At 40.1% G+C, this 21,568-nt stretch overlaps 1 protein-coding gene across 11 annotated transcripts in view, besides 1 other annotated feature; it reads left to right on the plus strand.

Moving 5' to 3' along the window:
• Positions 1–21,568, plus strand: part of EML1 (EMAP like 1) — a 204,339-nt gene that overhangs the window by 95,871 nt on the left and 86,900 nt on the right. For 7 of the 11 annotated variants that reach the window (XM_005267398.3, NM_001375411.1, NM_001440377.1 and 4 more), the window contains exon 2: positions 17,261–17,443. In XM_005267398.3, the coding sequence (XP_005267455.1) occupies positions 17,261–17,443 (183 nt within the window). Of the gene's footprint in view, positions 1–16,459; positions 16,741–17,260; positions 17,444–21,568 lie in introns of those variants that run through there. The other 4 variants (NM_001440375.1, NM_001440376.1, XM_005267399.4 and 1 more) reach the window with 2 other exon arrangements.
• Positions 5,012–5,639: an enhancer, noted in NCBI's record as "OCT4-NANOG-H3K27ac-H3K4me1 hESC enhancer chr14:100304941-100305568 (GRCh37/hg19 assembly coordinates)". NCBI's record gives its function as "activates a minimal SCP1, AML or CMV promoter by ChIP-STARR-seq in naive H9 embryonic stem cells {active_cell/tissue: H9 hESC(naive)}" and the evidence as "EXISTENCE:reporter gene assay evidence [ECO:0000049][PMID:30033119]".

The following is a 21,568-nucleotide window of genomic DNA, read 5'->3' on the forward strand; positions in this document are numbered from 1 at the left end:
TAATGAACAGCAATGAGTCTTCCAACCCACAGACACGGTATATCTCTCTGTTTATTTAGGTCTTCTTTGCTTTCTCTCAGCAGTGTTTTCTGAGAGTAAAAGCAGTGTTACTTTTTGGTGTGCAGATGTTGAACATCTTTTGCCATATTTATCCCTAAGCATTTCATATTTTTGATAATGTAAATAGTCCCAATTGTTTGGTGCAAGTATATAGAAATACAATTGATTTTTATGTCTTGATCTTCTATCCTGAAACCTTGATAAACTTACTTATTAGTTCCAGTAACTTCTTTGTGTATTCCTTCGATTTTCTAGTTGGACAGCCATGTCATTTGTGAACAAAGGCAGTTTTACTTATTCCTTTCTAATCTAGAGAGCTTATATTTCTTTTTATTTTTCACTGACTAAAACCTCCAAGATAATATTGAAATGTGTGATATTTGTTGTAGGTGTTCTATAGACACCCTTCATCAGATTGAGGAAGTCCTTTTCTCTTCCTAGTTCACTGAGTGTTTATCAGAAATGGATGTTGGATTTTGTCAAATGCTTTTTCTGCATTTATTGACCTGATTACCTCATTTTTCTTTTTTAGTCTGTAAATACGGATTACATTGATATTTGAATGTTAAACCATTCCTAGAATAAACCTATTAATAGGTCATGATGTATTCTTTTTTATATAAGACTTTCATTTCCTAAAATTTTAAGAATGTTTCCTTTTTTTTTTTGAGACAAAGTCTTGCTCTATCACCCAGGCTGGAGTGCAGTGGTGCAGTCTCGGCTCACTGCAAGCTCCGCCTCCCAGTTCAAGCAATTCTTCTGTCTCAGCCTCCTGAGTAGCTGGGACTACAGGTGCACGCCACCATGCCCAGGTGATTTCTGTATTTTAAGTAGAGATGGGATTTCACCATATTGGTTAGGCTGGTCTCAAACACCTGACCTCAGGTTATGCACCCGTGGCCTCCCAAAGTGCTGGGATTACAAGTGTGAGGTACTGTGCCCGGCCTGCATTTATTTTCATGAGGGATATTGGTCTGTAGTTTTCTTTTGTAATGTGTTTGTCTGATTTTGATATTAGAGTAATGCTGGCCTAATAGATGAGTTGAGAAATATTTCTTCCTTATCAGTTATCTGAAATAGTTTGTGTGAATTAACATTATTTTTTCCTGAAATATTTGGTAGAATTCACCAGTGAGGTTATCAGTGATTTGTGGAAAGATTTTGTTTTTGTTTTTGTTTTGTTTTGAGAAAGGGTGTGACTCTGTCGCCTAGGCTGGAGTGCAGTGGAGTGATCTTGGCTCACTGCAACCTCTATCTCCCGGCTTCAAGCAATCCTCCCACCTCAGCCTCCCTAGTAGCTGGGACTAGAGGTGTGCACCACCATACCCAGCTAATTTTTGTATTTTTTTTGTAGAGATGGGGTTTTCATTTGTTACCCAGGCAAGTCTCAAACTCCTGAGCTCAAGCAATCCACCTGCCTCAGCCTCCCAAAGTGCTGGGATTACAGGCGTGAGCCACCGTGCCCAGACTGTGGAAAGGTTTTTAACTACAAATTCTATTCTTTAATAGGACTCTTTAGATCTATTTCTTCTTGCATGAGCTTTGTTACTTTTTTTTCTTTCAAGAATGTGTATATTTTATCTAAGTTACTGAATTTATTGGCATAAAGTTTTTAAAAATATTTCTTTATCCTTTTGATATCTATCGATCTGTAGTAATGTCAATTCTCTTATTTCTGATATTGATATTTTATGTCCTTTCTCTTTTTTTCCTTGATCAATTTGGCTATAGGTTTGCAAATTTTATTTTCTCAGTGAACTAGCTTTTCATTCCATTGATTTTCTCCAGTGTTTTTCCTGTTTCATTGATTTTTGCTCTAATGTATATTGCTTCGTTTTTTTCTGCATACTTTGGGTTCCTGAAGGTTTGGTTTTCTTAAGTGGATGCTGAGATCATTCCTTCCCCATCCCCTACTTCCTTCTCCTTTCTTCGTTTCTAATGTCGATGTTGGGTGACATAAATTTCTTTCTAAGCGACAGCTCACAAATTTTGATATGCTGTGTTTTTATGTTCATTCAGTTAGAAATACTTTCTAATTTTCCTTTCTGTCTAATTTGAGTTAGTATTTGTGAAAGTTTTGTGTCTAGATGCATTATTTTGCATGTGGACATTCAATATTTCCAACACCATTTGCTGAAAATACTCTTCTTTCTCTGTTTAATTGCCTTTGCTCCTTTGTCAAAGACTAGTTGACTGTATTTGTGTGGGTCTATTTCTGGACTCTCTGTTCCATTGATCTATGTGTCTGTTCTTTCACCAATTACATGACGTCTTAATTACTATAGCTTTATAAGTCTTAAAGTCAGGTAGTGTCAGTTCTCCAGCTTTTTACTCTTCTTCAGTTTTGTGTTGGCTATTCTGGGTCTTTTGCCTTTGCATATAAACTTTAAATTCACTTTGTTGATATTTACAAAATAGCTTGCTGGAATTATGATTGGGAATGCATTGAATCTGTAGATCAAATTGAGAAGAATTGGCATCATAACAGTAATGAGTTTTCTAATCCGTGAACATGGAATATATCTCCGTTTCTTTAGAACTTCTTTAATTTCTTTTATTATGTTTTAGTTTTCTGCATTTAAATCCTGTAAATATTTTGGTAGATGTATATGCACCTATTTCATTTCTGGTACTATTATAAATGCCATTGTGTTTTAAATTTCAAATTCCAATTGTTCATTGCTGGTTCGTAGGAAAGTAGTTGACTTTTTTGTGTTAACCTTGTATCATGTAACAGTGTTACGAGAGGGTTTTTTTGGTCAATTCTTTGGGATTTTCTACATAGACATTTATATCATCTGCAAATAGACAGTTTTGTTTCTTCCTTCCCAGTCTGTATACCTTTTACTTCCTTTTCTTGACTTTTTGCACTAGCTAGGACTTGCAGTATGATGTTGAATGTATATAGTATAGTCATAATAACTATTTAATTGTTCTTGTCTACTAATCCTATTGTCTGTGTTATTTCTGGGTTAGTTTTGCTTGGTTGATTCTTTTATTTATTTTGGGTCATATTTTTGTGCATCTTTGAATGTCCAGTTGTTTTTTCGTGGAGGTCAGACGTTGTGAATTTTGCCTCGTTGGGTGCTGGATATTTTTGAATTCCTATAAATATTTCGAGCTTTGTACTGGGGGTAGTTACTTGGAGACATTTTGATCCTTTTGGGTCTTGCTCTTAAGTTTGTTAGGGGGACCAGAGTAGGATTTAGTCTTGGGCAACATCCTCTGAGTCCTCTCCTTCCATGAGGCTGTGGATTATGAGGTTTTCCACTCTGCCTGATGGTGTCAGGGTATCAAGAACTATTCCCAGCTCTAGGTGAGCTCTGGTAATTGTTCTAATTTTTTTTTTTTTTTGGATGATTTTTTTTTCAGTCTTGGGTAATTTCCTCACATGTAAATGCTGATAAGTACTCACCAGAAGACTTGAGGGCAGGGTGTGGGAGGGTAATCTTTCCAGATCTCTGAAGTTTTTTCTCTTGGCAATGCTCTCTTCCCCATTACCCTCTCTGCGAACCCCAATCGTCTTGGCTGCCCTGGACTTACAGCCGTGTGTCTCAGCAACTTAGGGAGACTCAGGCTTTACCTGGGTTCCCTCCCTGTCTCACATCCTGGAAACTCTCCAGACTATCTGCTGGGCTAGTCCTAGGGTTCACCTCTTTTGTTTACCATCTTTCATTGATCACTCTTCCTCATTGTCTGGTGTCCAGGTGTTTGAAAGCTGATGTTTAATATATTTTGTCTGTTCTTTTAGCTGTTTAAGGTAGGAAGGTAATCTAATCACTGTTACTCCATCTTGGCTGGAAGCAGAAGTTGATGGCACTTTTTAAAAAGTAGCTACAGAATGTCAAAAAGGATTAAAAATTTTTTTACAGTAACAACGAATGTGGATGGGAGGTTAGAACTCAAACTTTCCTTTAGATTCTAACCTTAAACCGTTGTAGCTCCACCTTTTGATAGGAACCTAAAAGACAAGTTCTACCATAAAAACCTAGGTATTTTAGTATCTTCCATAGCCGAACATATCTATTGTTTTGTCCTGAAACAGTACCACCAGCCTGTTTTAGAAAGTTTTTTCTTGGAAAACTAGGTTTCTGGCTTTGGCCCCATTGGTGATTTTAAACCATTTGAACTGTGCTTTTCTTTTTGTTTTGTTGTTTTATTGTTTTTGAGAGAGGCTTACTCTGTCCCCCAGGCTGGAGAGCAGTGGTGCAATCACAGCTCACTGCAGCCTCAACCTTCCCAGCTCAAGCAATCCTCCTGCCTCAGCCTACCAAGTAGCTGGGACTACAGGCATGAACCATCATGCCTGGCTAATTTTTTAAATCTTTTGTAGAGACGGGGTCTCACTATGTTGCCCTGGCTGGTCTTGAACTCCTGGGCTCAACCACTCCCCCCACCTCAACCTTCCAAAGTGCTGGGATTACAGGCATAAGCCACCATGCCCGGCTACACTGTGCTTTTCTAAATTTTTATCTCAATTATTAAAGGACAGGCTCTTATGCAGGGGAATATTGTCTGAAACTAATCAAATTATTAAGTCAGGAAGACAACTAAATTTTTGGATGATGTAACCATATAGTACTTTAAATAGAAAAAAATTGTACTAATAGAAGTTAGTAGAAAAAATTTAGATAATAATAGCTTTTATTTTATTCTTTTTGCTGAAAGACTTTGAAACCATGGTGTAAAATAAAAAATCATTAAAGCTACCTTTTTAGATACTTTTTGTTAAGTCAGTTTATAAAGTGAGGATGTCTATCTGGAATGTGTGACAGATGTAACAAGTGAAAGTTGCAATAGTCTCCATGTAAAATAAAATTTGGACTGACAGTTTTAGATCTTTTTCAAGTTTTACTCTAATGCTCATTATTTTGTCTTCTCTTCCCTTCTCCATCTGCATAATTTTAATCTTTCCTTTCATGGTTAAGATTTGGCAACCTCGTGTGCCTTGCCAGGATCATTGTTAAAAAGCTGTAGTTTTTTTTTTTCTTTCTCCCGTCCAAGCTGTCCCAGAGCCTGGTGAGCCACCCTTGCCCTTGGTGTGGTGTAGCTACTGCGCCTCATAGCAAAAGGCCAGGTTTTAAAGCATAGTGCTTCACACGTTATCAGGAATTTATTTTCTGCTCAGCTGCAGGATCTCTTGTTTGCTTTAAAACTGTAAAGTGGAGTGGGGGAAAGCTATCAACAATCTTCAAGTGCCCAGGTCTTTTAGTTTCTGACAGAAACAAGAGCATTTCTGCAAAGGTTGGGGAGTGCGCGCGCGCGCGTGTGTGTGTGTGCGCGCGCGCGTGCATGTTTGTAGTATTTAGTAAACATTCCAAAGATTTCAAAGTCTCCAGGGCTCCACAGGATGTCTTTGTTGACTTCATAACTGTGGTTAGGCAAAATGAAATGAGAGTCCAGGATAGGTCAAGATAAGGTAATTAGCAAATTCCCTTAAATACTCAACTAGAGAATTTCAATGGCCAGTCTTTTTACAGATGATTGTTCTTATTTTTCCTCTTTTGTTTTCAATTACAATTCATTAATTGAAACGTAGTAACGGGCCTGAAGTTGTGTTCTGTACTCACCTGTGTTTTGATCTTTATCTGTCTAGTCCTCATATTACTTTCTGGCAAGCTTGTGATTCTGGCATATAACAGTTGGGGCAGGGTGGGGGCTATTGATTTGATCCCTCATCTGTGTTCCTACATTTCTGTTATGGTTATTTGTTGGCCAGTCTCTTCTTGCTAGACTGAGTGCCCTTGGATTGGGAAGATCGCATTGCCCGGCACTAGGTCTGCCCCAGAAGGATGCTCAATATCATTGTACAGAATTAAACTGAAAGTTTGTTTCCTTTAAACTCCATGTCATCCAAGGTAAACACAGTCACATGTTGCCTCTTAGGGTGATCTTGAGTATTTTTTCTCATCTCCATCACCACCATTATCCAACCTAAGGCTTGTAAAAGATCTTTATACCATTTCTTTCCAGATTCAAGAGGCTCTGCTGAAGTTCTTTTAATCAATATTCGATGACAAATTTTTATATCAGGCAAAGGTTGTTGTAGAGCTCTTTAAGATTCAATTATGTGAACATTAGTTCTTGAGCTTCATTTGAAACAGGTTTATTTTGAGGTGGGATCGATTCTTGTCATTTTCTATGAAGTGATGAACGTCAGAGCCGGAGCTCTTGTGGCAGGTCCAGCTTGGAGGTGAGCAGGACACAGGGTTCCTAACTGACCCAGATGATCCAAGGAGAACTGGGAGTCTGAGAACAGAAATAAAGCTGGAGCCCAGCCAGGAGTGGTACGCAGGGCTGCGAATCTGACAGCAAGGCCGAAATCCAGGCCCGCAAGTGGCAGAGCAATGACAGTTAATTGCTTCTCTGTACTGATTGCTTGTATGTTTCTTTTGCTATTGGATACTAATAGGATGACTCCGAATATGACAATAGAGTATAACTATTCCGTGAACAACGTATAATATGGAAAGTCTGCTTTATGTGAAATGTTTATCTGCAAATTATTGAGCAAAGGGTTATTATTTGTTACTGCTTAAATGATTGGTTTTAAACTACTAAATCTGGTAAGTTTTTTTTCTAAATAGCATTTGTGTAATATTTTGGAAAAGGCAAAATGATGTAAAAATTCTATGTGTATTTTACTTAGTACCACAGAAATCTCACTGGAATTAATACCTGTCATTTGGATGGAGAACTCATATGGTGAAAAGAGCCTAGGCTCACAGCTCACCCTCGGCTGGCCACATTCTAGCCGTGCAACCTTAGGCAAGGTGGACCAGAAACTCAGGTTCTCCTACTTCATCTGTGGCATGAGGGTGGCACCTCTGTGGGAGGGCGCTGTGTGGCGTGGGGACACTGGGCATGGGGACACTGCACCACAAAGCTTAGGCCCTGACATACAGCGGCTGGTGAATCAAGGGTGGCTATTATTGTTTTGGTGCTATCATTATCTTAAATAATTAAAGAAAATAAGAACATCTCACGATAAAGGGAACAGATTCTAAGTTAACCTTTTAAAATTACTAGGCCACTTTAACCTCCGGGAATAGCACTCAGATAACAATGTCTTAGTATTACTGGAAGATTTACAGAGTCAAGAGCCTGCTCTTATCCCTGGATACTGAGATAATCACATGAATGGAGAAAAAAGCATGCTTCTCTCACCTTTTAATAGAGTGAAACACATCATGTTACCGGAAACCCTTTTGTTCTGTTTTTTACAGTAAGAGAAAAAGTAATTAAACTTCAAAGTCAGATCTGTAAATAGCTACATGAGGACCTATGGTAAAAGCAGAGCTACAAGGTCTTCTTTTTGCTTCTGAAACTGCGGGTGATGTAGGGGCTGCCCAGACCCATGGCATCCCTTGAAACTCAGAAAGAAGCCAGTGCTTGGCTGGGTTCTCATGAGAGTCAAGTTGGAGCTGGAGGCTATGAGAGGTAACACTTGGCCTGTCCTTTTGCCACTGGTCGTGTGCTGCCAAGTGGGAGGGCTCGTGTGGCATCAAACCATGCCTTATCTTAAGGCTAACATCACATTTCCTCAACTTGGCCAGAGGTGCTGCAGAGAGAGACCTGCACAGTATTTGCAGAATTTGTTCAATAATTATTGTTAATCGTTGATTTCACTGAAGATCAATGTTTGCTTTTTGCTCTTATAAACAAAACAGGAATATTCATAACAATGGATTCTAGTAAGGCTCAAGTACCATTTGTGTTGAGTGTCTGTATGCCGTCATAGTATTAGAAGTTTCATACACGCTAACATTCATCTTCACAGGAACGTCAGAAGGCAGGTGGTATTAGGTCACATAGCTAATAGGGGACAGATTAGGAATTGGCTACTGCTCAGTTTGAATCCCAAATCAGTGCTCTCTCTCTTGTGCCTCTAAAGCCCCAGGACCCAGACAGGGCAGTATAGGTAACCCTTAGCAGACTACTCTCAACAGTGTTTGGCCCTTGACAAAATGCCACAAAGTTGGAACGTGTAGCCCTGAGAAGGGTTGTTGGCAGAGGCTGCAGAGTGGCTTTCAGAGTGGTTGGCCAGCTAAGACATCTGCATCAATGCCTCGCACCACTGGGTGTTCAGTTTTCCCTCTGATTAAATCTTGTCTACCCTGTGCCCATAGAGTCAGCATGTGCTGCGAGATCACAACGTGGGAGATCGTTCCCCAATACTGAGATAGAGACACCGCCCCATAGACGCAGTTACACACTGCCATGTGTAAACAGATCAGGAAAGGAGCAGGTGCCCAGCCCAACCGGAGCTCCAGTTCACACAAAAGTTTTAGAAAACCCAAGAGGTAAAAGTTTAGAGAATATTGTCTTCTTCAAACCTCCCTCTAACACTGTAAAGTGATAATAGACAAGAATGTAAAAACTTGGGGGAAAAAAAGCTAAAGCTCAATTATTGACACTGTTTTAATGACCTCCACAGATAGATTTGAGAGGTATAGGAGCAAAAATGACTTTAAAATAAATAAGTTGTTAAAGTTTTATTGGTGCTGCATTCCCAACCTGAGGTTTTCTTTGATGAAATTCAGATGAAGTTTCACATCTTGTGCTGTGGAATCCTATGAAATGCTTAGAGATTCAAATGGTTTGTGTTGGTTAAAGCAAGCTTTAGGCTTTGTTCTTCATTATGCTAATCAGTTTTTCCCCCAGCTTAATTGAAGTGTAAAGTCATTTGAACAACACTGGTCTTTTCTGTACACAAGAAGGTTAAGAACCTCAGACAGCTCATGCTGCTGCCAAGAAGTCTCCCAGTCGTATTCTTCAGATTAATTACCTGCAGAAACAGAAGTAAGAAAATCCATTACAGGTTAAAGCAATGATTTTGGCAGGATCTGAAAAGCACTAGGATTATGTCATGGGGAAAACTTCAGCAAATCTCACAAATGGGGGCTCTCCTAAGCAGATCTGACATTTCAGTTTTTAACCATTTGTATTTGAAGGCAAATATTGAGGTGGTGGGGGTTTTTATTAAAATATTAAAATCAAACTTTTTCCTATATAAATTCAGCAATATAATTTAAATATTCTGATTTGTGCAGTTTTATTAAAGCCACTGAGACCACAGTGATGCTAAAGTTTTTGAATGCAGGGAGCAGGCCAGTCTTGCCTTACTCTGTATGTTGTTTTATAATATTGATTTGAAAATGCAAGGTTATACTACAGAGACCAACTTTTTCCTCCTCAATCCTGTGCTGGCAGCCACAATAAATGTGCTTGAGTCCCAGCAGTGAGCGTGTGTGCCTTCTCTAGAAGCTGCTGTCTGCACGAACAACCCAAAAATGTCATAGAAATGCACAGTTCTAGGCTGGGTGTGGTGGCTCATGCCTGTGTAATCCCAGCACTTTGAGACGCTGAGGCAGGATAATCGCTTGAGGCTAGGAGTTCAAGACCAGCCTGTGCAACATAATGAGACCCCATCTCTATAAAAAGTTTAAAAATTACCTAGATGTGGTGGTGTGCATCTGTACTTCCAACTACTCGGGAGGCTGAGATAGGAGGATTGTTTGAGCCCAGGTCAAGGCTCCAGTGAGCTGTAATCGCACCACTGCACTCCAGCCTGGGCAACAGAGTGAGACACTATTGCTAAAGAAAAAAAATAAATGCATGAGTCTATGCTACAGATTCTTTCATGATTTAAAAAGCAAATATTATTAATTATGCACTAATTTCTAATTATTCAGTGCTAATTTGCATAACCGTTGAGACAGCACATAGGAATTTTGTTAAACTTGGATTTGTTTTGGTAATTTTTATTGGAAACAACAATAGTAACAATAACTTAATTACAGCTTATATTTATTTATACATGCACTATATGCAAAAAGTATTCTAAGTACTCTAAATGTGTCAACTCATTTAATATTATAACAACCCTATGAAATACTCTTGTTGCACCTGTTTTATACATAGAGGCAGATAGAGATTAAGTAGTTTGTCCTAGGTCATGTAGCTAGTAAGTGGCAGAGCTGGGATTTGAACCCAGGTAGCTTGACTCCATAGTCCGTGCTCTTAAAGACTGAAGTCTATGCCTCTTCTGCCAGTGCTGTCAACACTGACTTAGCTCTAGAATGTCTTCTCCTACCTTAGTAGAACTCTCCCTGCCTTCCGCCTGAGGCCAGAGACCTTCCCAGGTAGGTGTGTGTTGACCCAGCGTCCTACACAATGGTTGTTACACCAACCTGACTCTGCCTTCTTTTATTCACACATTAGAAGATTTCACTGAACTGTTTAATTACTCCTCAGAGGGAAGACAGATATAAAATACCTTCTTATCTTCCCCACTTCTCTCTCCCAGTGGCATGACATTTTGAAGTGAGATTTTCTTTCCCTCCTATCCAAAGTCAAAGGAGAAATGGAGAAATTCCACAGAACTACTGTCCATTCACAAGAAGTTACATAGCACTTAAGGACAGTCTCTTTCCCTTGAGCAATAAGTACTTAGTTTTCATTGAAATATTTCTCTGCTGAGCTCTCATAGTATAATAGCAACCAATCCCAACAAGCAAAAATAACTTGTAAATTTGCAAAACCAGGCCAGGCGCAGTGGCTCACACCTGTAATCCCAGCACTTTGGGAGGCCGAGGCGGGCGGATCACAAGGTCAGGGGTTCAAGACCAACCTGGCCCACATAGCGAAACCCCGTCTCTACTGAAAATACAAAAATTAGCCGAGCATGGTGGTGTGTGCCTGTAGTCCCAGCTACTGGGGAGGCTGAGGCAAGAGAATCACCTGAATCTGGGAGGTGGAGGTTGCAGTGAGCTGAGATCATACCACCGCACTCCAGCTTGGGCAACAGAGTGAGACTTTGTCAAAAAAAAAAAAAAAAAATTGGCAAAACCAATGAGTGGACCTTATCTTACTTAAATGCTCATAAAATTACTTTATTTTATATGTTAACATTCAATAAAAACTGTCATTTTTGAGATAATTCTATGTGTTTTAACAAAGTATGGTTTAATGTAACAACCACCACTAAGGATATAGAACATTCCAATTACCTTCAAAATTCCCTTGTGCAGTGTCCCCAACCCAGCATTTGGCAACCACTGATCCATTCTCCTTCATTACAGTTTTGTCTTTGGAGAATGTCATATAAATGGAATAGTACAGGATGTAACCTTTTGAGATGGGCTTTCTTCATTCAGTATAATGCCTTTGAGACCCATGCAAGTTGTTTTGTGTATCAGTCATTCATCCCATTTTATTACTGAGTATATTCCATTGTATGAGTGCACCACAGTTTATCCATTCACCAGTTGAAGGGCCTTTGAGTTGTTTCCAGTTTCTATCAAGTCTGAACAGAGCCACCAGAAACATTGGCGTATCGGTTTTTGTATGAATATTGTTCATTTTTCTAGAGCAAATACTTAAGAATTGCTAGGTCATATTGGAAATATGTGTTTATAAGAAAATGGTAAACTGTTTTCCAGGGTGGTCGTGTCATTTTGTGTGCCCACCAGCAGTGGGGGAGAGTGTGTTTCATTTGCTCCATATTCTCACTGCACTTGCTTTTGTCAGCATTTTTACTTTTAACCATCCTAATAGATGTGTAATAATATCTCATTGTAGTTTTAATTTGCATTTCCATAATGACTAATGATGTTGAACATCTTTTCCTGTGCCTGCTTGTTACCTGAATAACCTCTTTGGTGGTCTATTTAAGTCTTTTGCCCATTTTTCCCCTTGCCTATTTTTAAAATTGGATTGTTTTCTCACTGTTGAGTTTGTAAAGTTCTTTATATTTCTCATTCAATAGAGAGAAACAGAAAAAAGAGGACGTGCACACATCCCCATCAGTACTCCTAATAAACAGTATGGATTCTACATTGGGAGCATAAAGAATGGTATATTTAGTTCTAGGAGAGGAGGAGCATGAGAAAAGGATATTTGCAAGTTGTTCTTGCTTTATAGTTTTACTTCTTTAAAGAGATATGCTTAAGACATAGTTTTAAAAAGACTTACACAATATTTTTTTTGTAAGAGCTTAGCGGCTCTCTTGGTTAATAGATATGTTATTCTCTCTCAGAAGTGCCATAGACACACTTGAAAATTATTTCTATGTGTGAAACAATTATCTGTTACTTAGAAAATTGACAGAGCCTGGCTGGGCGCTGAGGCTCACGCCTGTAATCCCAGCACTTTGGGAAGCCGAGGTGGTTGGATCACCTGAGGTCAGGAGTTCAAGACCAGCCTGGCCAATGTGGTGAAACCCCATCCTACTAAAAATACAAAAATTAGCCGGCGTTGGTGGCAGGTGCCTGTAATCCCAGCTACTCAGGAGGCTGAGGCAGGAGAATTGCTTGAACCCAGGAGGCGGCGGTTGCAGTGAGCTGAGATCACGCCACTGCACTCCAGCCTGGGCAATAGAGCAAGACTCTGTCTCAAAAAAAAAAAAAAAAGAAAAGAAAAAGAAAAAAGAAAATTGACAGAGCCTGAATTTAAGGGCAAGACAGAATTATTTATCCAGGAAGCAGAAGTTACAAGGTGGCAGATTTCAATGTCAGAGGCCACTTATTATTATCTAAATATTCCATATGTTTTCATGTTTCTGCGTTTTTGTTTAAATTGCTTGTTTCCTTTGCTTGGAATGCCATTCTTATTTTTCCAGCTGGTGATTTTTTTTTTTTTTTTTTTGAGACAGAGTCTTGCTCTGTCACCCAGGCTGGAGTGCAGTGGCGCAATCTCGGCTTACTGCAACCTTCACCTCCCAGGTTCAAGCGATTCTCCTGCCTCAGCCTCCCGAGTAGCTGGGACTACAGGTGTGTACCACCATGCCCAGCTAATTTTTGTATTTTTAGTAGAGATGGGGTTTTGCCATGTTGGCCAGACTGGTCTCAAACTCCTGACCTCAGGTGATCCACCCACCTTGGCATCCCAAAGTGCTGAGATTACAGGCATGAGCCACCACCCCCAGCCCTGGTGAATATTTTTATTCTTCAAGGCCAACCCCTGCTTGATCCCATTTTTCCAAATACAGCTAATATTTTCTTTGTTCACTTATCACTTTATATGTTTATATAACTTATCAAATTATTTTAGAAATTTGTAGGCAGGTGTCTTCTCCACTAGGCAGAGAGCTTCTTAAGGATAGCTGTGTGAGTGAATCATCTTTTATCCCTAACAACTAATTTAATGCATGCTTCAAAAGAGATACTCATTTACCCATTTATTCATTAATTTACCAAATATTTATTGAGTTCTCACTGTATGTTAGGTTGAGGGGCAGAGTAGTGAACCAACAGAAAAGATTCCTGCTTTATGGAGCTTACATTTTGTTGACCTTTTCAGATAACCAGATTCTCCTTTTCTAAAACAGTGGTTTTAAAGCTATTAGTTTTCCTCAAAGCCCTGCTTTAGCTGCATCCCATGTATTTTGCTATGTTGTATTTTCATTATCATTTGATTATTCTAATTTCTCCTGATATCTTCTTTGATCCAATGATTATTTAGAAATGTATTGCTTCATTTCCAAATATTTGTAGTTGATTTCTAACAATATCATTGTGGTCAGAGAACATACTCTTCCCATCTTTAAATTTATTTCAATCTGTTTAATGACCCAGAATATGATGTGTCCTGAAAATGTACCGTATGCACTGCTATTGTTAGCTACCGTTTTCTCTACGTATCAGTTAAGTCAACACGGTTTATAGTGTTGTTCAAATATTCTATGTCTGTACTGGTTTTTTGTTTGTTTGTTTTAAGATAGAATTTCATTCTGTTTTCGAGGCTGGAGTGCAGTGGCGTGATCATAGTTCACTGTAGACCTGATCTCCTGGGCTCCATGATTCTCCCACCTAAGCCTCCCAAGTAGCTAGGACTACAGGCATATGCCACCATGCCTGGCTAATTTTTAAATTTTTTATAGAGATGAGATCTTGCTATACCACCCAAGCTTTTATTTATTTTTTTATTAGTTGTTCTATCAGTTGCTGAGAGAGGGACATTAAAATCTTCAGGAAAAATTATAGAATTGTCTGTTTCTAACTTTAATTCTGTCAGTTTTGCTTCATGTATTTTAAAGCTCTATTAGGCACATATGATTGCAGTGTTTTTCTGATAATTGACCCTTTTTTCATTATGAAATGGCCCTTTTTATTTCTGGTAATACATTTTGACATCTATTTTATCTGATATTAATATTGCCATCCAGCCTTTTTATACTTATTATTTCCATGGTATATATTTTTTCCATTCATATACTTTCAATCTATCTGTGTCTTTGTATTTAAAGTGTATCTCTTGTAGACAGCATATAGTTGGGTTTTGCTTTTTTAAAAAAAAAATTATTCTGCCATCCTCTGCCTTTTAATTGGTGTGTTTAATGAAATTATTGCTTTAATGTAACATGTAATAGAATTATTGCTATATTGGGTTTGAGTTTAGCATTTTATTTTTTGTTTTTTACTTGTCTTTTTTGTACCTCTGTTACTCTTTTCTTTCCTTCTTTTGAATTATTTGAATATAGAATTTCATTTTAAATTTTCTGTTGGCTTTTTAGCTACACTCCTTTGCATTATTCTTTAGTCATTTATGAGGGATCACAATATACATCTGTGACTTTTCCACTACAGTTAATACTAACCCCTTACAGTTAATAATAACTGCTTACATGAGATCTATTGTACAACATTGTGACTAACATATGTATAATTAATAACATGTATGTATCCTTGAGAACCACTAAGAGAGTAGATTTTAAGTGTTCTTACCACAAAAATAAGTATGTGAGGTAATGCATGTGTGTGTTAGCTCAATTTAGCCATTCCACAATGTATATATATATATTTTAAAACATGTTGTATACAATATATACAATTTTTGCCAATTAAAATAAATGAAAGCCACTTATAATTAATGACATATACTTCATATAAAATACTGAAATCTTGCAACTTGTAGATCCATATTTACCCCATCTTTTATGTTATGGTACTTGTATTTATTACATAAAAATACATTATAAATCCTGTAAGACAATATTTTAATTTCTGTCTTTAAAAGTTTGAAGGTTCAAGGCTGGGCACAGTGGCTAACACCTGTAATCCCAGCACTTTGGGAGGGTGAAGCAGGATCACTTGAGGCCATGGATTCAAGACCAGCCTGGGCAACACAGTGAGACCCTGCCTCTATAAAAAATTTAAAAATTAGCCAAGCGTGGTGGGGTGCGCCTGTAGTCCCAGATCCTCAGAAGGCTGAGGTGGGAGGATCACTTGAGCCTAGGGAGTGAAGGCTGCAGTGAGCTGTGATCACACCACTGTACTGCAGCCTGGGCAACGGAGTAAGACCCTGTCAAAAAAAAAAAAAATAATAAAACTTAAGGTTTCATAATAACATAAAAGGAAAAAGGAAAAAAATGAGTCTTTGAACTGATGCAGGTATTTATCATTTCCAGTGCTCTTCATTTTTTTCTGAGGGTCTGAGTTTGATCTTATATAATTTTTCTTTAGCCTGAAGAACTTTCATTAGCATTTCTTGCAGTGCAGGTCTTTTGATGATTAATTCTTTCTGGTTTTGTTACTCTGAAAATGTCTTTATTTTGCTTGCTTTCTTGGAAGATATTTTGCTGGATGTAAAATTCTGAATTTAGTTTTTTCTCACGTGGTACTTTAAAGATGTAGTTCCGCTCTCTTCTGGTCTCCTTAGTTCATGATAAGTCAGCTGTTAATCAGACTGCAGGTCTTTTGTATTTAATATGTCATTTTTCTCTTGCTGCTTTTGGTATTTGTTCTTTATCTTTGGTTTTCAACAGTTTGACTATAATGTACCTTGAGGTGGGCTGTTTTGCATTTATTTTGCTTAGTCTTTGATTAGTATCTCATAATTGTGTGTGTGTATTTGTGTGTGTGTGTGTGTGTGTGTGTATATATATTTATTTATTTATTTATTTGTTTATTTTGAGACAGAGTATTGCTCTGTTGCCCAGGCTGGAGTGCAGTGGTGCAATCTTGGCTCACTGCAACTTCTGCCTCCTGGGTTCAAGTGATGCTCCCACCTGAGCCTCCCAAGTAGCTGGGACTATAGACGCGCACCACCACACCCAGCTAATTTTTGAATTTTTAGTAGAGATGGGGTTTCACCCTATTGGCCAGGCTGGTCTCGAACACCTGACCTTAGGTGATCCGTTTGCCTTGGCCTCCCAGAGTGATGGGATTACAGACATGAGCCACGGCACCTGGCCTGTAATTGTGTATTTGTGTTCATTAAATTTGTGCTATTTCAGCCATTTATTTGTTTGTTTTGTTTTTGCGCCACTGCGCTCCAGCCTGGGCGACCCTGTCACCCGGGGTCTTGCTCTGTCACCCAGGCTGGAGTGCAGTGGTGCAATCTCAGCTCACTGCAGCCTTGACCTCTCGGGCCCCAAGAAACTGCCCCACCTCAGCCTCCTGAGTAGCTGGTACTACAGGCACATACCACCACACCTGGCTAATTTTTTTTTTTTTTTGGTATTTTGTAGAGGCAGAGTTTTGTCATGTTGCCTAGGCTGATATCAAACTCCTGCGCTCAAGCAGTCTGCCTACCTCAGCCTCCCAAAGTGTTCTCTGTGTTCTCTGGTTGGAGCACAGTAAGTGAAGGGAAGAATGATGTACAATGAGATTGGAGAGGCGAAGAAGATCACGGAGAGGTTTATAGACCCTGATAAGGAGTTGGAAATTATGATTCTGAGTAAGAAAATATGATTACCATAATTGTAAGGGTAGCTTGCCAAACTCATATTGCTTTATCCTTCAGAGTCTTGACCGATGGATAGGGTGGCCTTGTGATTGTATGACCTACCTGTCAGTTAACATAATTGGAACAGAAGCTAGAAGACCATGCAGACTGGGTTTCTGCAGTGTGTGGGAAGTTGAAGTGGACGTATTCTAACATCCCTTCCACTGCTAAGGTTCTCCGGTATCGCTGAAAACAAGTTGGCCTCCATGTAGAAAAGTATAATGTCAATTAAAACCACAGTTTATAATGAAGAGTGCAAATGTAGAGAATGAAAAGACCATTGTAGAATGAAGAGTTGTAGTTACACACAGCTAAAGATTTCATGTGATTTCTGCTTAAGAGCAGTATCTGTAGTCCGTAAGTGTTACTATGTTAAAACAATGGGCTTAAAACAGCATGCTAGATAGAGTATGTTTATAGATCTGATTTCCGGGGAACACTTAAAGCTCACTTGATCCTTTCTTTGGTTTAGATGACAGCGCTTCTGCTGCAAGTAGCATGGAGGTGACAGACCGCATTGCTTCACTGGAGCAGAGAGTCCAGATGCAAGAAGACGACATCCAGCTGCTCAAATCAGCTCTAGCTGATGTGGTTCGGCGGCTGAACATTACTGAGGAACAGCAGGCCGTGCTTAACAGGAAAGGACCTACCAAAGGTGGGCGTTTGAGTGACACAGGAACTTCAGTAGAATTGGTCTCGTGGCAGAATCTTGCTCTAGCAAACACATTGTGCTCTTTAATATTGACAGAGAATCGAAACTTAGAATAACAATAAAACAGTCTTAGCACTGTCAACATAATCACACGACGTATGATAGTATTTTGGGGCTTGATGTTGGTGAATTGTACAGCCCAGTGATGTACATTTGTAGGTGATCATTAAATGCTTGTTGAGTCAAGGAAGGAACAATCCAAATGGACCACTGAGAACAGTTCTTTTTTTTTTGAGACAGAGTCTCGCTCTGTCGCCCAGGCTAGAGTGCAGTGGCGCGATCTGGGCTCACTGCCAGCTCTGCCTCCTGGGTTCACGCCATTCTCCTGCCTCAGCCCCACGAGTAGCTGGGACTACAGGCGCCCGCCACCACGCCCGGCTTATTTTTTGTATTTTTAGTGGAGACAGAGTTTCACCGTGTTAGCCAGGATGGTCTCGATCTCCTGACCTCGTGATCCGCCCGCCTCGGCCTCCCAAAGTGCTGGGATTACAGGCGTGAGCCACTGCGCCCGGCCGAGAACAGTTCTTTATCAGGATTCTCTGGGATGGAGAGAGCTTGCAGAAAGAACCATGATCCTTTGGGCCACTTTTGGAGGTTGTTCTACCTAGCTTTTTTTTGAAAACTGTTATCTCTTTATATGCACTTAGCTTATACTGTCATTCAGTTCAGCATAGCAACACTCGATCATATGCCACATTCAAAGCTCTGAGCCAAGCACTGGGGGTGCAGAGGTGGCGGGCCTCCCTCTGAGGAGCTCAGAGTCCTATGTTATCATTAGCTCTTCCCCTCTTCTAGCTGCAAAGCAAGCCACTCTCATGCAAAGCCCAGTGTTCCTTTTGAATCTCCTCTGCTGTCCACAAGGACATCACCTGCTACAGAGCTCTGTCCCTGGTAGATTTCTAGCAAATTTAAGTCATCATTTCATGTCCCTGTGGCTCTTGGGAATGAGATATTAAAAAGCAATATTTGTATTAAATAATGTTGTCATTATCTTCTTAGAAGATAATGGAATTAGACAATTAGACAATGTTGGAAATAAAACGCCTCCTAACAATTTCTGTCCAGCTAGCTGGCGCCCTCATGTCTACATGAACTTGCAAATGGCTCGTCTTTAGCCAGAATCACTCTTCCTCGTGACTAACTGTAGAAAAGAGAATTCGTCTTGGCTGTAAGATGCCTTTGGCTAAAACGTTTTTTGAGATTACAACATTTAGATGTTCCTTTAAAAATACCTTTCATTGGCTGGGCACAGTGGCACACGCCTGTAATCCCAGCACTTTGGAAGGCTGAGGCGGTCAGATCACCTGAGCCCAGGAGTTCAAGACCCATCTAGGCAACATAGTGAGACCTCATCCCTACAAAAAATTTAAAAATTAGCTGGATGTGGTAGCAAGTGCCCGTGGTCCCAGCTACTCAGGAGGCTGAGGTAGGAGGATTGCTTGAGCCTAGGAGGCCAAGGCTGCAGAGAGCACCACTGCACTCCAGCCGGGTGACAGAGCAAGACCCCATCTCAAAACAAAAACAAACAAAAGGAATACCTTTCATTGTTATTTCAATTTAACAAATTATTTCACAGTTAATGTGTATTTTCCTTAGAGTTGGGAGGGAGGACTGTCTAAGGTTGCGTCTTTGAGTTTTTTTTTCTCAAGTACTTGGCTGCATTTCCACACATCTGTGGGAAGAAATCAATTTCTTTGTCATCCCAGATGTTATCACCAGCTTCGTGTGAGATGGCTGGCTACACCTGTTGGGCTGATGTCTGCATTTTGAATAATCATTTTAAGTAATCTTTTTTCCTCCTGAGTTACAAAGTGATTCAGGTATTTTAAATAGAAACCGCATTATTTTAAGTATTCTTGACCTACCAGCTTTCCAAAAATAAATCTGATGACTGCTGTGTCTGAAAGGGTACATTTGAAGGAGCTGTTTTATATAAATCTTCAGACCTCTAAAACTTCCTTATTTTTAGAAAACTACAGGAAGAAAATAACAGGGTGTGCCCAAGAGTTTTGTTTTCTTGATTAAGAATGATTTGAATTTCATAACTGCACAGAAAAATAAATGTTTTCATAGTCATCTGATATTTCTTTATAAACATTCTTTTTCTAACTGTAAGCAAATCAAAGCTTAGTTGCCAGAAGGTCACACCAAGAAGTAAAAAAAAGATTCACAAGAAAGCAGGTGAATGGGCTGCATCCCCTGAGTGGAGGGACCTTGGGCTCTCTACTTTCTGTGCAGCTAATTAGAGCACAGTGGAAACAGGGGCAGGAGGGGCGTGCCCGTGGGAGGGGCATGCCCACGGGAGGGGTGTGCCCGTGGGAGGGGTGTGCCTGCAGCAGCTGCCCTGGCTGTGCTCATCTTTGAGGCAGCTGCCACGTGGGCACTTGGGAACTGGTGCCCACACCTCTGTCTGTCTTTAGAGCTGGCTCTCTGTGGTCATGGTTGGGGTGGGGAGTCTTTTAGGCAAGATGGATTTTAGGCAAATCTCCTTTGGTTTTAAGTGGCCACACAATTATCACTTCATAATATTTTGGCCTGCCATGCTCATATAGACTTGAAGTAGCCTGGACACATGACATTCTTATTTTTATTTCTGAGACAGATTCTTGCTGTGTCACCCAAGCTGGAGTGCAGTGGCGTGATCTTGGTTCTCTGCAACCTCCGCCTCCCGGGTTCAAGCGATTCTCCAGCCTCAGCTTCCCGAGTTGCTGGGACTACAGGCACACGCCACCACACCTGCTAATTTTTTTGTATTTTTAGTAGAGACGGGGTTTCACCATGTTGGCCAGGCCGGTTTTGAACTCCTGACCTTAGGTGATCCGCCTGCCTCGGCCTCCCAAAGTGCTGGGATTACAGGCATGAGCCACCGCATCTGACCTGCATTCTTATTTTTAAATATCAAATGATTTTTTCCCCCACAGTTAGTTTTTTAATGCTTAGGTCTCACTCAGTATGTTGAGGTTTGGGTGTACAGCTTTTGCTGTCTGCCCAATGCTGGGCGTGGCTGTGCCACCAAGAAGCAGGCAGGTACTCACTGGGGGTCCTGCTCAAAGCCAGTGCGGGAAGAGCGCGTGTCTTTCTGCTGCCGTAGCCGCTAGCTAGTTTTTAGACTGCAGTCAACACTCACTGGCCTCAGCAGTACCTGTGGAGCCATAGATAATCATTCTGATTCCTTTCCACAATAATACTCCACTTATTTGAAGAATGTTATCATGACCTCTAAGCTTTGGCTGACTATCATTCTTCATATGCCTTGACTAGTATAACGATGAGAACTGCAGGTTCATGGAAATAATTCACTGACAGCTAAGGTCAAGGCTTCCTGAAATGGGATGAGATTGTGGCCCACTGTAATGTGCTGGGCCTGTGGATAGGTATTCTGTAGAGAGGGAGCTGTCACTTGTTCCCCTGTCCCTGCGGTTGGCCTGCTTGCACCAGTTACCCAGGTCTTCTTTCCCTTGAGGATACTGCTCTGGGTCTTAGGATTTCCTCAGTCTCTGTGAGCTCCCCAGACTCTGCTTTCTCCTTTTCCTTTGATATTTTTTAAAATAGGAAGAACCGGCTACCATATCACACACCTTCACTGTGGTGAACCTCAGCCCATAAAGCTGGCTTGGTTCATGTTGGATTTACTCTTGGATAGAATGACTTGGAATGTTTCCACTTTGCTGAGCTTGGATTACCATGTAGTGGAGAAAAGAGAATCAAATCGTTCACGAAGGGCTGTATTAAAATTCTTGCTAATACGGAAGTGTTTCAGAGTTGTGGTTGGAGTGGGGCAATACTCTGGTAGCAGAATACAGTGAACAGACCCCTTAGATATTGCTGTTGTGACCGTAAATACAGACAAATGATGGATGAGTAAGGGAATTCATTGCAGCACTGTGCGCAACGGAGAAAAACTGGATAGGAAACAATAAGGGAGCAGCAAGCAGTAGGGGCATGGCCAGGAGATGATGGTGCCTCCATATGATTAAATGCTGTGTGGTCTTTAAAAATGTTTGTGTTACTGGTACAAGAGGGAAAATGCTTACGCATTACATTGAGTCAAATGCAGGCTATAAAACT

The sequence above is a fragment of the Homo sapiens genome, chromosome 14 (assembly GCF_000001405.40).
Source record: "Homo sapiens chromosome 14, GRCh38.p14 Primary Assembly".
Lineage (NCBI taxonomy): Eukaryota > Metazoa > Chordata > Mammalia > Primates > Hominidae > Homo > Homo sapiens.